Here is a 20,649-nt window from a genome sequence, read left to right on the forward strand (position 1 = left end):
CCAGCTACTCAGGAGGCTGAGGCAGGAGGATCACTTGAGCCCAGGAGTTCGAGGCTGTAGTGAGCCATGATCATGCCCCTGCACTCTAGCCTGGGTAACAGAGCAAGATACTATCTCCCCAGAAAATAAATAATAAAATATCTGTTCATCTACAGACACCATGAAGAGAGTGAAAAGGCAACCACAAGAAGGATGGAACACTCAAAATGCACATATCAAAAAAGGGCTCATTACAGAAATTATAAAGAATCCCTAGAAACCAATAAGGGAGGCAGGCAACCTGAAAGAAAAATGGGCAAATTACTTAAATGGACACTTTACAAAAAAGGATATTCAAGTAGCCAATAAGGCCAGGCACGGTGGCTCATGCCTGTGATGCTCGCACTTTGGGAGACCGAGACAGGAGAAGTCCTTGAGACCAGGAGCTGACACCAGTCATAGCAAGACCTCATCTCTACACACACACACACACACACACACACACAAAATATATATATATATATATATATATATATATATATATATTTTTTTTTTTTTTTTTTTTTTTGGAGACAGAGTCTTGCTCTGTCGCCGAGGCTGGAGTGCAGTGGTGCGATCTCGACTCACTGCAAGCTCCGCCTCCTGGGTTCACGCCATTCTCCTGCCTCAGCCTCCTGAGTAGCTGGGACTACAGGTGCCCGCCACTGCGCCCGGCTAATTTTTTGTATTTTTTGTAGAGATGGGGTTTCACCGTGTTAGCCAGGATGGTCTCGATCTCCTGACCTCATGATCCACCTGCCTTGGCTTCCCAAAGTGCTGGTTTTTTTTTTTTTTTTTTTTTTTTGAGACGGAGTCTCACTGTGTCACCCAGGCTGGAGTGCAGTGGTGCAATCTTGGCTCACTGCAAGCTCTGCCTCCCAGGTTCATGCCATTCTCCCACCTTAGCCTCCTGAGTAGCTGGGACTACAAGCACCCGCCACCACGCCCGGCTAATTTTGTTTTTGTATTTTTAGTAGAGATGGGGTTTCACTGTGTTAGCCAGGATGGTCTGGAACTCCTGACCTCATGATCTGCCCGCCTCGGCCTCCCAAAGTGATGGGATTACAGGCGTGAGCCACTGCGCCTGCCCTACACAAAATTTTTCAAATTAGTTGACTGTGCCTGTAGTCCCAGCTACTTGGGAGGCTGAGGTGGGAGGAGTGCTTGAGCCCAGAAGTTGAGGCTGCAGCGAGGTATGATTGCACCACTGCACTCCAGCCTGGGCAATGGAGTGAGACCCTGTCTCTTAGAAAAAAAAAAACCTCAAAAAACAAAAACAAATGGCCAATAAATATATGAAAAAGTGAAATGCAAATTAAACCAGAATGAACTTCCATAAGATGCCCACCACGCTGGCAAAAATGAAAAGTGTGAAAATGCCAAGTGTTGGTGAAGTGCTCTGGCGACTGAAATTCTCATTCATGTATGTGGAGTGTAAATGGGCACAAACCTTTTGAGAGACTGTGTGGCTGTATTTCCTGACACAGCCATTTCTGTCCTAGGCATGCGTTCCATTAGAGGGCAAAAAGGACTGTGCAGATGTAAGCCTGGAATCTTGAGCGGGGACGGAAGCAACCCAAGTGTACATCAGTAGATAGATAAATGGAGGCAGAAATGTGGTCTATCCATACAATGGACTGTTACTCATCTGTGACCTGCTGCAATGTGGGTGATCCTTGAGGACATCACACTAAGCGAAATAAGCCAGTCACACAAAGACAAATACTGTGTGGCTCCACTCACAGGACACAGCGAACACAGTCAGACTCATAGAAACAGAACACAGGACGGTGGTTGCCAGGCACTGGCAGGTGGGGATGATGTAGTCACACAAAGACAGATACTGTACGGCTCCATTCATCTGACACATCGAACACAGTCAAACTCGTAGAAACAGAACAGAGGAAGGTGGTTGCCAGGCACTGACGGGAGGGGGTGACGTAGTCCGACGGGTGGAGTCTGAGATTTGCAAGATAAAAATGTTCTGCGGCACAGCAGTGACTACAGTTAACGCTACTGAACTTTGCACTTAAGTGGTCACAATGGTAAAGTTACATGGTTTTTTTTTTTTTTAATCACAAATTAATCTTTTTTTTTTTTTTTTTTTTGAGACAGGGTCTCACTCTGTTGCCCAAGCTGGGACGCCTTGGTGTGAACACAGCTCACTGCAGCATGGACCTCCTGGGCTCAAGGGATCCCCCCATCTCATCCTCCCAAGTAGCTGGGACCACAGGCACATGCCACCATACCCAACTAATTTTGATATGTTTTGTAGAGAAGAGGTCTCAATATGTTGCCCAGGCTGGTCTTGAACTCCTAGGCTCAAGTGATCCTCCCATATCAGTCTCCCAAAGTGCTGGGATTACAGATATGAGCCACTGTGCCATGCTGTAAATTAACTTTTAAAAAAAGAATCTTGGCCGGGCGCGGTGGCTCACGCCTGTAATCCCAGAACTTTGGGAGGCTGAGGTGGGCGGATCATGAGGTTAGAAGATCGAGACCATCCTGGCTAACACGGTGAAACCCCGTCTCTACTAAAAATACAAAAAAAAATTAGCCGGGCCTGGTGGCGGGCACATGTAGACCCAGCTACTCGGAAGGCTGAGGCAGGAGAATGGCGTGAACCTGGGGGGCAGAGCTTGCAGTGAGCTGAGATTGCGCCACTGCACTCCAGCCTGGCAGACAGCGAGACTCCGTCTCAAAAAAAAAAAGAAAAGAATCTTGAGTGCTGGGTGCTATAATCCCAGCTACTTGGGAGGCTGAGGTGGGAGGATCGCTTGAGGCCAGGAGTTTTGGACCTGCCTTAGGTGATATAGCAACACTGTGACTCAAAAAAAAAAAAAAAAGACTCATGAGATGGGAATATAATCCTGGATTATCTGGGCAAGCCCAGTGCAATCACAGGGTCCTTAGAAAGTGGTGAGATAAAATGACTGTCAATCTAGATTTGAATATGCAGCAAAACTTGCATTTAAAAATAAAGGTAGGGCCGGGCATGGTGGCTCACGCCTGTAATCCCAGCACTTTGGGAGGCTGAGGAGGGTGGATCATGAGGTTCAAGACCATCTGGCCAACATGGTGAAACCCCGTCTCAACTAAAAATACAAAAATTAGCTGGGCATGGTGGCACACGCCTGTAGTCCCAGCTACTTGGGAGGCTGAGGTAGGAGAATCGCTTCAACCTAGGAGGCGGAGGTTGCATTGAGCTGAGATCATGCCACTGCACTCCAGCCTGGCAACAGAGCGACACTCCCATCTCGAAAAAAAAAATCTTTTATGAATTCCTTTAGAACAGTTATACAAACTCCCTCAGTATCTACTTTCCTGCAAATGTTTTTTATTTCCATTTATTTATGTATTTATTTAGAGACAGGGTTTCACTCTCTTGCCCAGACTGCAGTACAGTGGCACAGTCACAGCTCACTGCAGCCTCCACCTCCTGGGTTCAAGTGATCCTTCCACCTCAGCCTCCCAAGTAGCTAGGACCACAGGCATGCACCTAACACTTGGCAAATTTTTGTATTTTTTTGTAGAGATGGAGTTTCCCCATGTTGCCCAGGCTGGTCTGGAACTCCTGAGCTCAAGCAATCCTCCCACCTCGGCCTCCCAAAATGCTGGGATTACAGGTGTGAGCCGCTGTGCCCGGCCTCCCCTTATTTTTATTTATTTTTTTTAAGACAGAGTCTTGGTCTGTCACCCAGGCTGGAGTGCAGTGGCGTGATCTCAGCTCACTGCAGCCTCCGCCTCCCAGGCTCAAGCAATTCTCCTGCCTCAACCTCCCAAGTAACTGGGATTACAGGCGCCCACCACCACACCTGGCTGATTTTTGTATTTTTAGTAGACACGGGATTTCACCATGTTGGCCAGGCTGGTCTCGAACTCCTGACCTCAGGTGATCCAGCCTCTTTAGCCTCCCAAAGTGCTGGGATTACAGGTGTGAGCCGCTGCGCCCAGCCAAGATTGCATCTTGCTATGTTGCCCAGGCTGGTCTCAAGCTCCTAGGCTCAAGCGATCTTCCTGCTTCAGCCTCCCAAAGTGCTGGGATGACAGGCATGAGCCACTGTGCTGGCCGTTAACCACTGATTTTAAATGCTGCATTTTCTCTCATATGGCATACAAGCATAGGCACACACTCACCCATTCACACACACCCCTACCTCGGTATGCTTTTTAGAACCTATGGCATACAAGCATAGGCACACACACACCCACACACACACCCCTACCTCAGTGTGCTTTTTAGCACCTGACAGACTATCACTAAACTTCATCTGGAAAAATCGACAGGTAATAAGGAAAGACAGGACTACCCTTCTTTATGATGGCACAAGCTATGCTCTCTGCCACTCCAGGGGCTCCTCATATGGATCACAATAGGAAAGGTATCCCCTGGATGTGGGTTACATGGCCGTCCTGGGCCAGATCTGGCTTGGATTGCAATATATGATAGAGCTACAGTAATTAACCAAGTCAGCACAGGGGTTGGGATAGGCAGGTCACTGGGACAGATTTGAGGACAGCTGTCAGGTGATTCAGCCATTCTACACACGTCTGCCCCTAGACTACCAATTCCATTAGTCATTAGGGCAATGCAAATCAAAGCCACAATCAACCACCACTGCATCCTGTTAAAATGGATAAAATGAGAAAGACTGACCATACCACATGTTGCCAAGGTTGTAAATAACTAGAACTCACAAACATTACTAGTGAGAATATTAAATGCTGCAGACACTAGATAACAGTTTGGCAGTTTCTTTTTTTTCTTTTTTGAGACAGAGTCTCGCTCTGTCACCCAGGCTGGAGTACAAAGGCACGATTTCTGCTCACTGCAGCCTCCACCTCCTGGGTTCAAGTGATTCTCCTACCTCAGCCTCCCGAGCAGCTGGGACTACAGGCATGTGCCACCGCACCTGCTGATTTAACTTTTAAGAAACTGCTGCCCAGGCGCGGTGGCTCACGCCCATAATCCCAGCACTTTGGGAGGCCGAAGGGGGCAGATCACGAGGTCAGGAGTTCGAGACCAGCCTGGCCAACATGGAGAAACCCCGTCTCTACTAAAAATACAAAAATCAGCCGGGCGTGGTGGCACATGCCTGTAATCCCAGCTGCTCGGGAGGCTGAGGCAGGAGAATTGTTTGAACCCGGGAGGCAGAGGCCGCGGTGAGCCGGGATCACGACACTGCACTCCAGCCTGGGCAAAAGAGTGAGACTCCATCTCAAAAAAAAAGAGTTAAATCTCATATGATTCAGACATTTCACTTCTAGGTATTTACCCAAGAGAAATGAAAGCATACATCCACAGAAAGACTGAGGCAGGAATGTCCACGACAGCTTTGTTGGCCATAAGCGAAAACAAGAAGCAACCCAAATGTTCATTACTGTGGTTGGAACTTAATCCTCAATGTGGCAGTATTGAGAGGTGGGGCCTCTCATTGCTATGGTTGGAACTTAATCCTCAATGTGGCAGTATTGAGAGGTGGGGCCTGTAAGGGGTACTTGGATCATGAGGGCTCTGCCTTTATGAATGGATTAATGCATACATGAGATAATGGATTAATGATTTCATGGGTTAATGTGTTATCATGGGAGGAGAAATGGTGGCTTTATAATAAGAGGAAGAGTGACCTGAGCTAGCCATCAGCACACTCAGCCCCCTTGCCACGTGATGCCTCCAGACTCTGCAGAGTCCCCAACAGCAAGAAGGCTCTCACCAGATGTGCCCCCGAACCTTGCACTCCCCAGTCTCTATAACTGTAAGAAATGAATTTCTTTTCTCTATAAATTACCCAGATTTGGCCAGGCGCAGTGGCTCACGCCTGTAATCCTAGTACTTTGGGAGGCTGAGGTGGGTGGATCACCTGAGGTCAGGAGTTCGAGACCAGTCTGGCCAACATGGCGAAATCCCGTCTCTACTAAAAATGCAAAAATTAACCGAAGGCCAGGCCTGGTGGCTCACGCCTGTAATCCCAATACTTTAGGAGGCCGAGGCAGGCAGATCATCTGAGGTCAGGAATTTGATACCAGCCTGGTCAACATGGTGAAACCCCGTCTCTACTAAAAACCACAAAAATTAGCCAGGCATGGTGGCAGGCGCCTGTAATCCCAGCTACTTGGGAGGCTGAGGCAGGAGAATCGCTTGAACCCGGTGGGCAGAGGTTGAAGTGAGCCGAGATTGCGCCACTTCACTCAAGCCTGGGCAAAAGAGCAAGACTCCGTCTCAAAAAAAAAAAAAAAAATTACTCAGTTTCAGATATTCTGAGCAACAGAAAATGGACTAAGACATCCACCAACAGGTGAATGCATAACAAACTGATATATTCACACAATGCAATACTACTCAGCAATTAGAAGGAACCATTTATTGATACACCCAACGACAGTGATGAATCTTAAAACAGTCATGCTGAGAGAAGCCATACAAAAAAAGAGTACATACTGTGTAGACCATTTCTACAAAAATCTAGAAAATGCAGGCCAGGCATGGTGGCCCACGCCTATAATCCCAGCACTTTGGGAGGCTGAGGTGGGTGGATCATGAGGTCAGGAGTTCAAGACCAGCCTGGCCAAGATGGTGAAACCCCGTCTCTATTAAAAATACAAAAAATTAGCAGGGCGTGGTGGCGGGTACCTGTAATCCCCAGCTACTCCAGAGGCTGAGGCAGAGAATTGCTTAAACCTGGAGGGGCAGAGGTTGCAGTGAGCCGAGATCACGCCACTGCACTCCAGCCTAGGCGACAGGCAAGACTCTGTCTCAAAAATAAAATAAAATAAAATAAAATAATCTAGAAAATTCAAACTACTACATAGTGACGGAAAGCTGCTCAGCAGTTGCATGGGGGTGTAGGAGGAGGGATTAAAAAGAAACACGAGGAAACTTTGGAGGTGATGGATATGCTCAGTCTTGATTGTAGTGATATAAGTATATGTTATATGTATATGTTAAAACTTGTCAAGCCAGGTGTGGTGGCTCACACCTGTAATCCCAGCACTTTGGGAGGCCAAGGCGGGTGGATTGCCTGAGGTCAGGAGTTCGAGACCAGCCTGGCCAACATAGTGAAACCCCTGTCTCTACCAAAAATACAACAAAATAGCTGGGCATGGTGGTGGGCACCAGTAATCCCAGCTACTCGAGAGGCTGAGGCAGGAGAATTGCTTGAACCCAGGAGGTGGAGGTTGCAGTGAGCCAAGATGGCGCCATTGCACTCCTATCTGTGCAACAAGAGCGAGACTGTCTCAGAACAAAAAAAATAAAAATAAAAAAAAAAAACAAAACTTGTCAAATTGGGCCGGGCACAGTGGCAAACGCCTATAATCCCAGCACTTTGAGAGGCTGAGGTGGGCGGATCACCTGAGGTTGGGAGTTCAAGACCAGCCTGGCCAAAATGGCGAAAACCCACCTCTACTGAAAATACAAAAATTAGCAAAGCATGGTGGTGCAGGCCTACAGTTCCAGCCACTTGGGAGGCTGAGGCAGGAGAAGTCGCTTGAACCCAGGAGGCAGAGGTTGCAATGAGCTGAGATCATGCCATTGTATTCCAGCCTGGGCAACAAAGTAAGACACTCTCTCTCTCTCTCTCTAAATAAATAAATAAATAAATTTTAAAAATCAAGTATTTAAAAGCTATTATTATTATTATTATTTTTGAGACAGAGTCTCACTCTGTCGCCCAGGATGGAGTAAAGTTGTGCATTCTTGGCTCACACTGCAACCTCCGCCTCCCAGGTTCAAGCAATTTCTCCTGCCTCAGCCTCCCAAGTAGCTGGGATTACAGGCATCCATCACCATGGTGAGCTGGTTTTTGTATTTTTAGTAGAGATGGGGTTTCACCCTGTGGGCCAGGCTGGTCTCGAACTCTTGACCTCAGGTAATCCACCCGCCTCAGCCTCCCAGTGTTGGGATTACAAGCGTGAGCCACCGAGCCGGGCCCTAAAAATTATTTTAAAAGAAGCATCTTAATAATGGTTTTTGAATGGATGATGATTGGATGAGTTGGAATTGGAGCCCAATTATTTTACCTCCTAGTTATCTTTCTTATACCTCTTGTTTCCTTCCCTGTGAGATATCATTTATATAAGGATTTCTTAAAGTTAAAATTATTTTCATGTTGAACAGCCAAAAGCTGGCCCTAAGTGACTGTCCTGCTTCCAGGAACATTTTCCCTTTCAGTAGATAATTTCCTCAACCCACAACAATATGAATATGGAACACTTACCTTCCTTAATACTTCCTGACCGTTGAGTAGGGAAGGCCTGGGGAGGAGGAATCTGTGCTATGAGTGGCTGCTGAGGGAGCTGCTGAATGATGGTGGCAGGAGGCTGGGGGACCTAGGAACAGCCAGGTGATTAGCTATCTGCATATGTCCTTGAAGAAAGTGTCTCCAGTATCTACCACCCATCCATCCACCCACCCATCCAACCAACCAACCAACCAACCATCCACCCATCCATCCAACCAACCAACCAACCAACCAACCATCCACCCATCCATCCAACCAACCATCCACCCACTCATCCATCCACCCATCCATCCACCCACCCATCCATCCAACCAGCCAACCAACCATTCATCCACCCACCCATCCACCCATCCAACCAACCACCCACCCATCTATCCACCTACCCATCCATCCAACCAGCCAACCATCCAACCAGCCAACCAACCATTCATCCACCCACCCATCCATCCAACCAACCAACCATCCACCCACCCATCCATCCACCCACCCACCCACCCATCCATCCACCCATCCACCCATCCACCCACCCATCCATCCACCCATCCACCCATCCACCTACCCAACCAACCAACCAACCAACCACCCACCCATCCATCCACCCACCCATCCATCCAACCAGCCAACCATCTACCTACACATCCATTCATCCATCCAAGGAGAACTTTAAATGATTAACCCCAGACACTGAATAAATGGTTGAATGGAAAGGTACTTCAGTCTAGATATCACTTAGGATGTAGTATTTTTAATGTTTCCCACATTTCCTGTCTTTAGCGGGGTGGGCTGAGGCCTGGTTCCACCAATTCTGCTTTAATAGGAGCAACCAACACTTGGTATGGTGTTTTTGTTTTTTTTTGAGACAAAGTCTTGCTCTTGTCGCCCAGGCTGGAGTGCAATGGTACAACCTCAGCTCACTGCAACCTCCGCCTCCCAGGTTCTAGCGATTCTCATGCCTCAGCCTCCCGAGTAGCTGGGATTACAGGCGCCTGCCACCACGCCCGGCTAATTTTTGTGTTTTTAGTATAGACGGGGTTTCACCACGTTGGCCAGGCTGGTCTCGAACTCCTGACCTCAGGAGAGCCACCCATCCAACCAACCAACAGTGTCCAGGCAGGGGAAATGCAGTAGCGGTTGGCCACCTTGGCCTCCCAAAGTGCTGGGATTACAGGCATGAGCCACCATGCCCGGCCTGGTCAGTCTTTTTAATTGTAGCCACTTTAATAGAGATGCAGTGGTGGCTCACAGTGGCTTTAATTTGCATTTCCCTAATGACGGATGGTGTTGAGCATCTGGGGCAGACCCGTGGGTAGGATGGCCGCATCCCAACAGGCGTTCTCAATTCTGTCCCAGTGACCTCTCTATCCCAGCCCCCATAACAACTTGGTTAATTACTGTCCTCCATCATATACTGTAGTACATATATAGAACACGTCATGAAAATGAACTTTGGTTTCTCCTCTGAGTGAAAATAAATTATAGCCAAATATTCGAGCATGAAAGGCCTTCTGTTTTATCCTCTTCTAGCTGTGTGAGGCTGCCTGGCCTTGTCCCTTCTTCCTCAGTTCACAGAAAGGACGGCAGAGACCAAGAGTTGGCAAACTTTTGCCAAGAGCTACATCGTAAACAGCTTCCAAAGCAGGACACACCGTCAGCTCTTGAGTTGGCCATTGCAGCATGAAAGCAGCTACGGACAATGTGGAAACAAATGGGCCTGGCCCAATAAAACTTTATTTATGAACACTAAAATTAGCATTTCATATAATTTTCATATGTTGCAAAATATTATTATTGTATTGGCTTTTCCCCAAACATGTAAAAATGTAAAACCATTCTTGGCTTGCAGGTTGTGTGAGAATAGGAGGCAGGCCAGCTCCGGTCTGAAGCTGTGGTTTGCCCACCCCTGGCACAGACCCATGAGGCTTTCTTAGAGCTGCCGTGCCCGTCCTGGCTGATGGGACCTCCTACCTCAGGGGCTCTGAGTCCAGCTGCCAGGAAGCTCATCTTAGTGACCCACAGCCCCTGCTCACCCACCTGGTGTCACTGGGGCTGAGAGTGAAACCTGCAGGCATAACTGGCCCTGATGGATACACAGTAAGCATAGATGTGTTTGGGATGAGGAAGATGGGGGGTCCACAGCAATGACCCCCCGTACTCCCTTCTGTCCTGGGAGGAGGTTTCTGGTGCTGGAAGACAGGAAGGCACAGGCTGGGAATATCCAGAACCTGGTGAAGGCCACCCATCTGCAGAGGAGGGTCTGGGGCAGGTCCTTCGGAGGCTCCCCTTCCCTCTGTACCCTCCACCATGTGCTGCTGCCAGGGTCCCCTCCCAAAGGGCAAAAGCCTTCCAGGTCATAGACTCTGCTGCCCTGTCTAGAAATTCCCACCTCAGCCTCTTCTCTTCCACCTTCCCTGCACCCCAGTCACACGAATCCCACCAAAGCCTTGACCTCCGGGCCCCCAGCTTCCATCCCACCTCTGGGTGCCTGGTTTCCCTCTGATCCATTTTTTGCTTCAGAAAGTCAGAGTTGTTTTCTGCTGCCTGCCACCCAGAAGGCTGAACAGCTGTAGGAAGCTCTCAGAAGTGGAGCACTATTTACCTTTAACATTCTGCCCTTGACATTGGGGCCTTAAGCATCTCCTGGGCATGATAAAGTTTTTTTTTTGAGATGGAGTCTTGTAATCTCCTCTTTCTGGGCTCAAGCGATTCTCCTGCCTCAGCCTCCTGAGTAGCTGGGACTACAGGCATGCACCACCACGCCCAGCTAATTTTTGTATTTTTAGTAGAGACAGGATTTCACCAAGTTGCCCAGGCTGGTCTCAAACTCCTGACCTCAGGTGATCCGCCCGCCTCGGCCTCCCAAAGTGCTGGGAGTAGAGATGTGAGCCACCGCACCCGGCCAGTGATAAAGTTCTGAGGAGTTGACACACTTCCCCAAATTCAGGGCCGCCCGCTGAGCTCTCCTGATACTTCTGCCCCTAATGCAACATTTAAGGCCAGGGCTGGGGTTTGGGAGACAGAGCTGGGCCCCAGCCTTCCTCTGTGATGAGGGGTAAGCAGTCCGGGGAGGCCCAGGCAGTGCCCAGGCAGGCAGCTGGCCCCCTTCAAGGGTGGGCCTTGGGAGGATGGGGGTGACGAGGCAACCTCGCTGCAGGCACAGCGCCTCCTGCCTTCTGTAAAATCTTAATTCCGCACCCGCCTCCCACTCTCAGATGTGCTCCTCGACTTCGCCCTCTTACCGTAGGCAGGATGATCCTTGGCGGGTCTGGGGCCAGCGGGGATGGGGAGGCAGTGGGTAGGATGCCCGTGGGGGGCAGCTCTGGGGGCAGGGCTGACCCGAGGGCTCCTCTGCTTGGCCCGCTCCAGGCCTGGGCCCGAGAGAGCTCGTCCAGGAGGTGTTGTTCCTGCAAGGCCGATGCAGAGCTGCTGCACACGGGGACGGGGAGCCCCAACGCCACAGAGGCACCCCCAGCATCAGGCTCAGGCCAGCCTGGGCCAGGTACAGGCGCCTCTCCGGGCAGGATGGCCATGACTGGAAGACCCTTCCAGGGTTATGTGCATGAGGGTGGCCTCCTGAAATTGACCCAAGCGTGTCAGCTAGTTTCCAGTTGTTTTCTTTTTCCAGCCCCAGGGTCTGTTCTCTCTTTCAAGCCAGTTCCAGGCCTACTTTTTTCTAGGTCTCCCCCTAGAAAAGCGGCCCCACCTCCCCTGCATCTCTGCCACTCGGATGCATCTTTGGTGAGTGCCGTGGGAGCAAACCTCCAGGCATCCCAGAATTTCAGGTCCTCCTGGAATTGGGCCCTTACTCAACATTTCCAGTCCTGATGGAAACCTGCACCCAGGCAGGTCTCTAAGCTAACAGTGTCCTTGCTGGGGCCTGGCCCTGAGAGTCTGGAAAGGTCTTCCCTAATACTCCCCGACCTGGTGCCTTAAGGCTGAGCAGCTATCTCTGCTACAGTGAGCTCAGCCAGGTTCGCTCAGAGGGTGCAGGGCCTACCCGGAGTCTCTGCAGAAGGTCCCTCCTTCTCTTCAGAGCAGTCTGCAGGGCATCGTCCGGCCGGTCCTCATTTCCTGGAGGGAAGAACCTGCTTGCTTACCAAGGAACGCGTAGAGGCTGTCGCTGCAAGCACTCGGACTGGATGGTACTGCACCCATGTCGGAAGGCCCTGCCTCACCCACACTCCCAGGATGGGGGAGGCCTGGGAGGATCCTGGTCTTAGGTTATCCCAGATAAAGAGGGACCAGTGTTGGGTAAGGAGGGCAAGGGGCAGCATCAGGGGAGGGGTAATCCAGGGAACTCAGTGCTGGAGGATGGTCATCTCATTCCTGGAAGGGAGGCTGAAATGACGCGACCAGGTTCCTCCTGAGTGCATTTCATACAGAGTGCCCTGGGCTCCAGGAGGTCAAGGGCTCTACAGGGCTGGCTGCAGCCTGACCTTGGCCACCTGGAGCCACCCTCTGGCCCCAAGTGGTCTAGAGTCTGGTCTGATCCCCAAGTATCTGCACATCCCTCAAGTCTGCCCCCTAGTCCGGGCGTGGTGGCTCATGCCTGTCATCTCAACAGTGGGAGGTTGCACTGGGAGGATTGCTTGATCCCAGGAGGTCGGGGGTGCAGTGAATTGTGATCAGGCCACTGCACTCCATCCTGGGCAACAGAGCGAGACCAACCCTGTCTCAGGAATAAAAAAAAAAAATCTGGCCAGGTGCAGTGAGTCACACCTATAATCTCAGCACTTTAGGAGGCCGAGGTGGGTGGATTACTTCAGGCCGGGAGTTTGAGACGAGCCTGGCGAACATGGCAAAACCCCTTCTCTACTAAAAATACAAAAGTTGGCCAGGCATGGTGGAGCGCACCTGTAATCTCAGCTACTCGGGAGGCTGAGGCACAAGAATTGTTTGAACCTCAGAGGCGGAGGTTGCAGTGATCTGAGATTGCACCACTGCACTCCAGCCTGGGCAATAGAGTGAGACTCCATCTCAAAAAAAAGAAAAAGTCTACATTCCTTGGGGGAGGGTCTACACTCAAGAGAAGGCTCCGGAAGGTGGGGGGCAGGGTTCTGGCCTCCTTTCCCTTAGGCACAGGGGTCCTGCCCCTCACCCAGCATCACACTGGAGAGGGGCCGTTGGGAACCCTAGCCAGCCCTTGGGGGGGTCCCCAAACCCTCTGCCCCAGGCACTGGTAGCCATTCTATTCCCTCGCACTGGCTCTGCAGTCAGGGGACCTGGTTTGGGATTTTCTCTCTGTATTTGAGACTGGGCTCTGCCCTTGGCAGCTGAGCCCCCACAGCTCACAGCTTGCCCCACGTTCCAAAGAACAAGAAATGCTCCTCTGGCCTCCTCAGCTTCTCCCTGGACGTCCCCGGGTAACAGTGAGGACAGCAGCTCCTCCCCAACCAATGGACAAGCTCAGGGTCTGGAACCAGAGCAACTGGGTCTGATCTGGGTGCGACCACTGCCAGGGTGAGCAACCTCTCTGCCTCCATTTTCTCATCTGCAAAATGGGAACAATGAAGGTGCCCCTTTTTGGGGTTTGCAGACTAAAGGTGATAAGGAATGGGGGTGTCTTCAACTCTGAATGTAAAGGAAAAGCGTTGAGGACAATCTCGCCGGTACCAGGAGTGGGGGTGATTCCCAGAGTTGCTGTCCCCACCTCCCCCTGGAGGTGGCTCCCCCTGGAGTGGCTACACTTGCGTCTGTCTGTGCTGGTTCCAAGCAGCCCAGGGGCTCTCACCTGGCTCGAGGTGGAGGCCCTCAGGTCCCCCTTCCACGTTCTGCCGTTCTTGCTCCAGCTTCTGTGAGGAAGAGAGACCGTGACAGAGACGGTGGCTCCACGCAAAGGCCCTGTGTGCTCCAGGAATGACTAAGAGGCTTTCTGAGTGAAAAGAATGGTACGTCAGGAGTAACCCAGCCTCTCCAGGGCCAACAGGCGGGAGTCAAGCCCCTCCGAGGATCTCCCTGAGCTGCCTCTGTAAGCCTGACCTCTAGCAAATTCATGTGTTCCATCCACAAGTCTAGGGGCGGATGCTCTGAGTGGTCCCTTCAGGCAGATTTCTGAAGAGCAACCCTGGGAGACACCTCACTGGTGAGGCCTCCAGGCTTCCCAGCCAGTGCATGCCTAGATCACCCCCCACCTGAACCCTGAGCTGAGCAGCTACCTGCTGGGTGTGTCCAGGGGTGAGTCCCTCTCATGGCGGCCTGTGGGCCAGGATGCAGGGCTGGCGAAAGGTGGGCAGCAGGTCCCTCAGGCAGCAGGAGAGGGAACAATGCAGGCAGGGGGTGCAGAGGTGCCCCCAGGCACCGAGGCTCCCCAGACCCTGTGCTCAGTGGCCTGCGAGGACAGGCAGGTCGGTCATGGGCCACCCAGACCCTCAGAGAATGTGAAGACTAAGTCTGAGGATGGGTCCGCTGGGCTGCCAGCCCCAGGCCTAGCCCTTGGGGCCCTGCATTCTGCACCTGCAGGGCTGTCTCGAAGAGTCCCTCCAACGCCACAGCCTGCGAGTTGTTAAAAACAGGAGCATCCCGGGCTCTGCCTCACCTGTCCCAAGAGCTTCAGCGTCAGTCGGGTCACTTGCTCTGCTGCTGATGAGTCCAGCATGGTGGGAGCTGCAGGAGACGACTGTAGGGGCAGGGGAGGCCACAGCCCACCTCCCTCCCTGGTTCTGTTACTCGCAGGAAAGAACTGCTCAGCAGGAGCCCAAGCACCGGTGTTGCCTGCAGGGCGGGCCTTACCTCCTGGAGACCAGCCTGAGGGAAGAGAAGAGCCCTGTGGGAAGATAGCCACACCCTCCCTGGACTGCAGTGCCCCAGAAGCCAGCGCTGGGCGCCGCGTGACAGTTGCCAGGCTGCCAGACACAGGGAGGCCCCAGGTTGCCAGGTTTCCACTGTGCGTCCTCAGGCTACCGGTAAACACTCATCCCCAGGTGTGGCCAGCTGGGCTTCATGGGAAGGCAAAAAAGTGGGCAGCAGCTGAGGCAGAGGGGCAGAACCCTCAGACCTGGGGGAAGGGCAGTCGTGACCCCCTATGCACCACCAGCCTCAGGACCCAGTCCAGAAGAACCTGTGTGTCAGGGGAGGGCGCCCCACCTGTGTACTGCCTCCAGGGTGTTAATACCTCCCTCCTAGGGACCCTCAGAGCAAGCAGGGAAGACAGGGTGGGGAGACACTGGGAGGACAGGGTGAGGAGACTGCCTACCAAGGAGTTCAGGAAATTGCAGGCAGCAGAAGGGGTAGGACAGAGGAGGGGTTGTGACCTGCAGAGGGGCTGGGCTTTAGCAGGACCAGAGGGGGTGCCCAGGGGATATGTCCCACCTTGGGGCTGGGGGCACTGGGCAGGGAGTCAAGTTTGCAGGAAGCTTCGCAGAGGGTGACGCAAAACAGGAGCGTGGTCTGCACTTGGTTGGGCATTAAACTCCACGTTGATGAGTTAGTCAATCCCACTAGCAGGCAGACTGACATGTGGGGGATGTCAGCAGCAGGGGCCCAGACCTGTGGACCCGAGGGGCAGAGGTCAGCACCCTCCTCGGTGCAGCTAACCCAGGAACTTGCCTCAGTGGCCAAAATTGCTCTCTTGCCCTCAGTTCTGTAAATGGCCCATGTCCATCAGTATCTATGGTTGTGTGCCTGTCCTGTCTTCCAACCCACATCCATGTAGGGACCCTGAAGCTGGACCAGTGAGTGATTGGGTGAAGGCTGGCTAGCCCGTAGGAGGTCAGGCTCACAGAGGCAGCTCATGGAGATCCTTGGAGGGGCGCACCTTACTCCTGCTGGCCCTGGAGGGGCTGGATTACTCCTGACGTAGAGTTCAACTCACCTTACCCTGGAGGCCATCCAACCAGAAATGAAGTCAGCATGAAACCAGGCCTTACCCTCCCTCCAGATCTGTGGAGGGTGTGGGCTAGGGTCACATGACCTGCCTGGTGCCACACATTCCCAGATGGCAGTCAGGGGTCCTCGCTGGTGCTGCTGGACATGAGCAGACTCTGGCCCCATGTTTAAGATCCCAGTGCCATTGGGCGTTGGCTCACGCCTGTAATCTCAGTGCTTTGGGAGGCCAAGGCAGAAGGATCACTTGAGTCCACGAGTTGGAGACCAGCCGGCACAACACAACAAGACCCCATCTCTATAAAAAATAATAAAAAAGGGCCAGGTGCGGTGGCTCATGCCTGTAATCCCAGCACTTAGGGAGGCTGAGGCAGGCAGATCACGAGGTCAGGAGGTCGAGACAACCTGGCCAACATGGTGAAACCCCGTCTCTACTAAAAATACAAAAAATTAGCCAGGCGTCGTGGTAGGCGCCTGTAATCCCAGCTACTCGGGAGGCTGAGGCAGGAGAATTGCTTGAAATCGGAAGGCAGAGTTTGCAGTGACCCAAGATTGCGCCACAGCACTCCAGCCTGGGCAACAAGAGCAAAACCTCCGTCTGGAAAAAAAATAAAAAAAATAAAAAAATAAATAAACAAGATAATAAAAGAACCTGGCTCTTGTCCACAGTCATTAACAGTGACAGTCTTGGGAGACATTTAAACAGCTCTGAGTGTGCACAGAACAAAAACCAGGTTAATTTAGTTAAGCAACTGTATAGAGCACCCTTGATATAAGTGACCTCATCTGAGAAAAGGACTCCATCTTATGTATTTTTTTTTGAGATGGAGTTTTGCTCGTTGCCCAGGCTGGAGTGCAGAGGTGGAGCCATCTCAGCTCACTGCAACCTCCGCCTCCCGGGTTCAAGTGATTCTCCTGCCTCAGCCTCCCGAGTAGCTGGGAGTACAGGTGCACGCCACCACGCCCAGTTAATCTTTGTATTTTTGGTAGAGATGGGGTTTCACCATGTTGGCCAGACTGGTCTCGAACTCCTGACCTCAAGTGATCTGCCGTCTTGGCCTCCCAAAGTGCTAGGATTAGAGGTGTGAGCCATAGCACCTGGCCCCTGATGCCTTTTAAATTATAAGATAGGGCCAGGCAGGCGGAAGTTGCAGTGAGCCAAGGTGGCACCACTACTGCACTCCATCCTGGGCAACAAGAGTGTAACTCCACCTCAAAAAAAAAAAAAAAAAAAAAAAAAGGGTATCAGGCCAACAGGGACCAGATGTTTCCTCATCAGTAGATACTGCACCCACCCAGATAAAGACATAAACAAGACACTCTTACTATCAGTCCTTACCAGAGTACTCTATGGCCATGAAAAGAGCAGAACACCACCAGGTCAAAGTGGCCGTTTTACAGACAGTCTTGCTGTCACTTGTGAGAAGCCCTCCACATCTGCTGCTGCAGGCTCTGCCCACATCAGAGATGCTTCCTTGCCAGATTCTCCTTTTCGTTGAACTGGTTAACTTTTTTTCCTCTCCTCTTTCTCTTGATGTGGAATGTTTATAACATTTATGCAGTGGTCAAGTATACTATTATGTATGGTTTGTAATACTGACTGACTTAAGGAGAGACTTGAGCCTGTGTGCCCACAGCTGTGACTGCCAAGTGAATGGGAAGCACTAAGAATTGCCTCCTCGGGATCTCTAGTAGTATACATAACATGCTCCAGAGGGCATGGATTTGTCAGACTTTTTTTTTAAATAGGGTTTTTAAGAACAGTTTTAGATTTAGAGTAATTGAGAAGATAGTACATGGAGATCCCACATACCACATGTGTGGCTTCCCCTCTTATTAACATCTTACCTTAGTGTGCTACATATGTTATATATATATATATTTTTTTTGAGACAGAGTCTCGCTGCGACGCCCAGGCTAGAGTGCAATGGTGCAATCTTGGCTCACTGCAACCTCTGCTTCCCAGTTTCAAGCGATTCTTCTGCCTCAGCCTCTCGAGTAGCTGGGACTACAGGTACGTGCCATCATGCCCAGCTAATTTTTGAGTGAAAGCCAGTGCACCTGGCCCATTTGTTATGATTAATGAACCAATATTGAGACACAAGTAACTGAAGTCCACACTTTGACAGTTTCCTTAGGTTTGCCTCATGTCCCTAATGTGGTATCCATCAGAACACCCCATTACATTGAGTTATGTGTCTTTAGGCTCCTTCTCAGACTTTCCTCGTTTTTGATGACCTTGACAGTTTCGAAGAGTACTGGGCAGATATTTTGAAGAATGTCCCTCAATTAAAATGTGTCTATTATCTCCTGGTTAGACTGGGACTGCAGGTTACAGAAAGGAAGCATCTAGGGGTGAAGTGCCACTGTCACCCCATCACATCAGGGACACACACTGTCACCTCGACTATAACTGTGAGGCTGACCTGCGTCACTTGGCTGAGGTGGAGTCTGCCAGTTTTCTCCACAATAAAGTGGCTCTTTCCCTCCTTTTCTTTATTGCACTCTTTGGGAGGAAGTGGCTATGTGTGGTCTACACTTAAGGAGAGGGGAGTTACGTTTCCCTCCTTGAGGGTGAGTATCTACAAAATTTATCTGGGCAGCTTTTTTTTTTTTTTTTTTTTGAGTTAGGGTCTCAGTCTGTCACCCAGGTTGGAGTGCAGTGGTTGCCTGGCCTTGACAGCTTTTTAATAGTTTAAAATGAATTGAGGCTGGGCGAGGTTGCTCATGCCTGTAACTCCAGCACTTTGAGAGGCCAAGGCAGGTGGATCACTTGAGCCCAGGAGTTCAAGACCAGCCTGGGCAACACAGTGAGACCCTGTGTCTACTAAAAATACAAAAATTAGCTGGGCATGGTGGTGTGCCTGTAATTCCAGCTGCTCAGGAGGCTGACATGGAGAATCACCTGAGCCCGGGGAAGTTGAGGCTGCAATGAGCGGTGGTCTCACCACTGCACTCTAGCCTGTGTGACAGACTGAGACCCTGCCTATAAAAAAGAAAAGAAAAAAGAACTGAAATAAGACCCAAGTCCAACATTAGCAGAACCTCTCTAGGATGTCCACAGAAACGACTCTGGGGTTCTGAGGAACACAGTCTAGGCAAACCTGGGCACATCCCCTCAGTCCCACAGTTGTAAATGTATTGTAACACGTAACAGTTGTGAGATTCAGGCGCGGTCTGGGTCTCTGTTCCTGGAAAGTGTGATCCTGTGGGTGCAGCCCCTGCTCGCTTGGCTGTGTTGCCTGCCTGGCCCCTGCTCTAATGAGCCCACTGCCCAGAGTTTGCTCAAACCACCCAATTCCGAGTCTGGGAACCAGGAGACCGCTGGACACCCCGCTCACCACACAGAAGACTGTGGCCTGAGTCAGGAGAAGGAAGTTTCTGGCGGTCGAGCTTCCACGGCTTCCTGAGGGAGGTTGCAGGGAGCCGAGATCGCGCCATTGCGCTATAGCCTGGGCGTCGCAGCGAGACTGTCTCAAAAAAAGAAAAAAAATTCTGAGCGAGATTCCAGGGCTTCCTGAGGGCGCGTTTAAGTTGCAGTTGCTGAGGAGGCTGCAAGGTGAGCTTGCGTCAGCGAGGAGCCACTCCAGCACGCTCGGGAAGGGCATCGTTACTGCTGCAAACAAGCACACGGCCCTCCACGACGAACCTTTTGCAAGTGAAGGCGCACGAACAGGCCCGGAGGACTACAAAGAAACCCAGAAACCAGACTTGGACACATGAAATAAAGGGGTTAGCTGAAGGAATACTCCACAGTTAAGGACGGCCTGCGCGAGGTCACCGGCCCTGTCTTGGTTTTTTGCCACTTCGCTCCAGTTAGTTTCCCAAGTTCCACCTACGCGCGCGCCAGCTGAGAAAACGCCCACCCCGGCGGTCCCGCCACAGGTCACAGGCGGTGCGGACCCCGGGACTGTGTCCGGGCTTCGGTGTCCAGAGAGCTCCAAGACACCCAAACCTTCCGTGGTTTCCACCTCTGCAAGCTTATGTTCCGCTGAGCTCAAGCTGAGGGACGACGACCTCATGCGACGTCAGTTTCCCCCTGGGACCACGAACCCACGGCCCCATTTCTCTTCTGTCTACTAAAAACCTTTTCTTTTCTTTTTTTTTTGAGACCTAAGACATCAGTGAGACACACGAGCAGACACGGGCTCGGTCGGGAAAGGCGGGAGCTCCAAGCGGCGGGGCCTGCAGGTCCAGGCGGTTCGCGGGCTTTCTGACCGCATTCGGCCGAGTTCTTCTCTGAAGACCCAGGACCCCCGGCCGAGGGGGCGCATTCGGCGGGCTGGTGGCGTAGGATTTTGTTTCGGGTTCCCAGGGTCCCGGCAAGGGTGAGGGAGCCCTTGCGGATCCCCTGAGATCCACCTCAGCAGCCTCCTCCGTGGTAGGCCTCAACTTCCCGCGGCGGCCCACAGCCAACGACTAATGCCTGAGCGGGAGAAAACGGCCTGGCCCTGTCCGGGTGGTTGCTGAGCACCGTTCGGCGCCGCCCGCGCCTGCAGGGAGCCCGGCCCGCTGTCCTGGTGGACACAAAGCCCAGGGGCCGCCCGCGCGGGACCAGCAGCGCGAACTTTTT

The 20,649-nt window shown here is 51.7% G+C and overlaps 2 protein-coding genes across 24 annotated transcripts in view, besides 5 other annotated features; one reads left to right on the plus strand and one right to left on the minus strand.

Annotated features, from left to right (window-relative positions):
• The window catches only part of YBEY (ybeY metalloendoribonuclease), a 26,884-nt gene extending 16,880 nt beyond the window's left edge, over window positions 1-10,004 (plus strand). For all 5 annotated transcript variants that reach the window (XM_047440898.1, XM_047440901.1, XM_011529633.3 and 2 more), the window contains one exon: window positions 9,783-10,004. In XM_047440898.1, the coding sequence (XP_047296854.1) occupies window positions 9,783-9,790 (8 nt within the window). In that variant the 3' untranslated portion in view covers window positions 9,791-10,004. The remainder of the gene's footprint in view (window positions 1-9,782) is intronic.
• Window positions 1-20,649, minus strand: part of C21orf58 (chromosome 21 open reading frame 58) — a 23,441-nt gene extending 2,792 nt beyond the window's left edge. For 5 of the 19 annotated variants that reach the window (XM_006724018.5, XM_011529619.4, XM_011529620.4 and 2 more), the window contains exons 1-6: window positions 19,418-20,649; window positions 14,791-14,999; window positions 13,987-14,047; window positions 12,253-12,326; window positions 11,495-11,659; window positions 8,235-8,346 (exon numbers count right to left, since the gene is read on the minus strand). In XM_006724018.5, the coding sequence (XP_006724081.1) occupies window positions 8,235-8,346; window positions 11,495-11,659; window positions 12,253-12,326; window positions 13,987-14,047; window positions 14,791-14,999; window positions 19,418-19,517 (721 nt within the window). In that variant the 5' untranslated portion in view covers window positions 19,518-20,649. 19 annotated transcript variants of the gene reach the window in all.
• Window positions 12,978-13,813: an enhancer, noted in NCBI's record as "H3K4me1 hESC enhancer chr21:47736113-47736948 (GRCh37/hg19 assembly coordinates)". NCBI's record gives its function as "activates a minimal SCP1, AML or CMV promoter by ChIP-STARR-seq in primed H9 embryonic stem cells {active_cell/tissue: H9 hESC(primed)}" and the evidence as "EXISTENCE:reporter gene assay evidence [ECO:0000049][PMID:30033119]".
• Window positions 14,649-15,483: an enhancer, noted in NCBI's record as "H3K27ac-H3K4me1 hESC enhancer chr21:47737784-47738618 (GRCh37/hg19 assembly coordinates)". NCBI's record gives its function as "activates a minimal SCP1, AML or CMV promoter by ChIP-STARR-seq in primed H9 embryonic stem cells {active_cell/tissue: H9 hESC(primed)}" and the evidence as "EXISTENCE:reporter gene assay evidence [ECO:0000049][PMID:30033119]".
• Window positions 15,484-16,318: an enhancer, noted in NCBI's record as "H3K4me1 hESC enhancer chr21:47738619-47739453 (GRCh37/hg19 assembly coordinates)". NCBI's record gives its function as "activates a minimal SCP1, AML or CMV promoter by ChIP-STARR-seq in primed H9 embryonic stem cells {active_cell/tissue: H9 hESC(primed)}" and the evidence as "EXISTENCE:reporter gene assay evidence [ECO:0000049][PMID:30033119]".
• Window positions 17,924-18,186: a silencer, noted in NCBI's record as "fragment chr21:47741059-47741321 (GRCh37/hg19 assembly coordinates)". NCBI's record gives its function as "represses an EF-1alpha promoter that drives an FKBP-Casp9 reporter gene in an ReSE screen in K562 erythroleukemia cells {active_cell/tissue: K562}" and the evidence as "EXISTENCE:reporter gene assay evidence [ECO:0000049][PMID:32094911]".
• Window positions 20,178-20,317: an enhancer, noted in NCBI's record as "active region_18600". NCBI's record gives its function as "activates an Ori minimal core promoter by ATAC-STARR-seq in GM12878 lymphoblastoid cells {active_cell/tissue: GM12878}" and the evidence as "EXISTENCE:reporter gene assay evidence [ECO:0000049][PMID:35858748]".

This window comes from Homo sapiens, chromosome 21, assembly GCF_000001405.40.
Source record: "Homo sapiens chromosome 21, GRCh38.p14 Primary Assembly".
Lineage (NCBI taxonomy): Eukaryota > Metazoa > Chordata > Mammalia > Primates > Hominidae > Homo > Homo sapiens.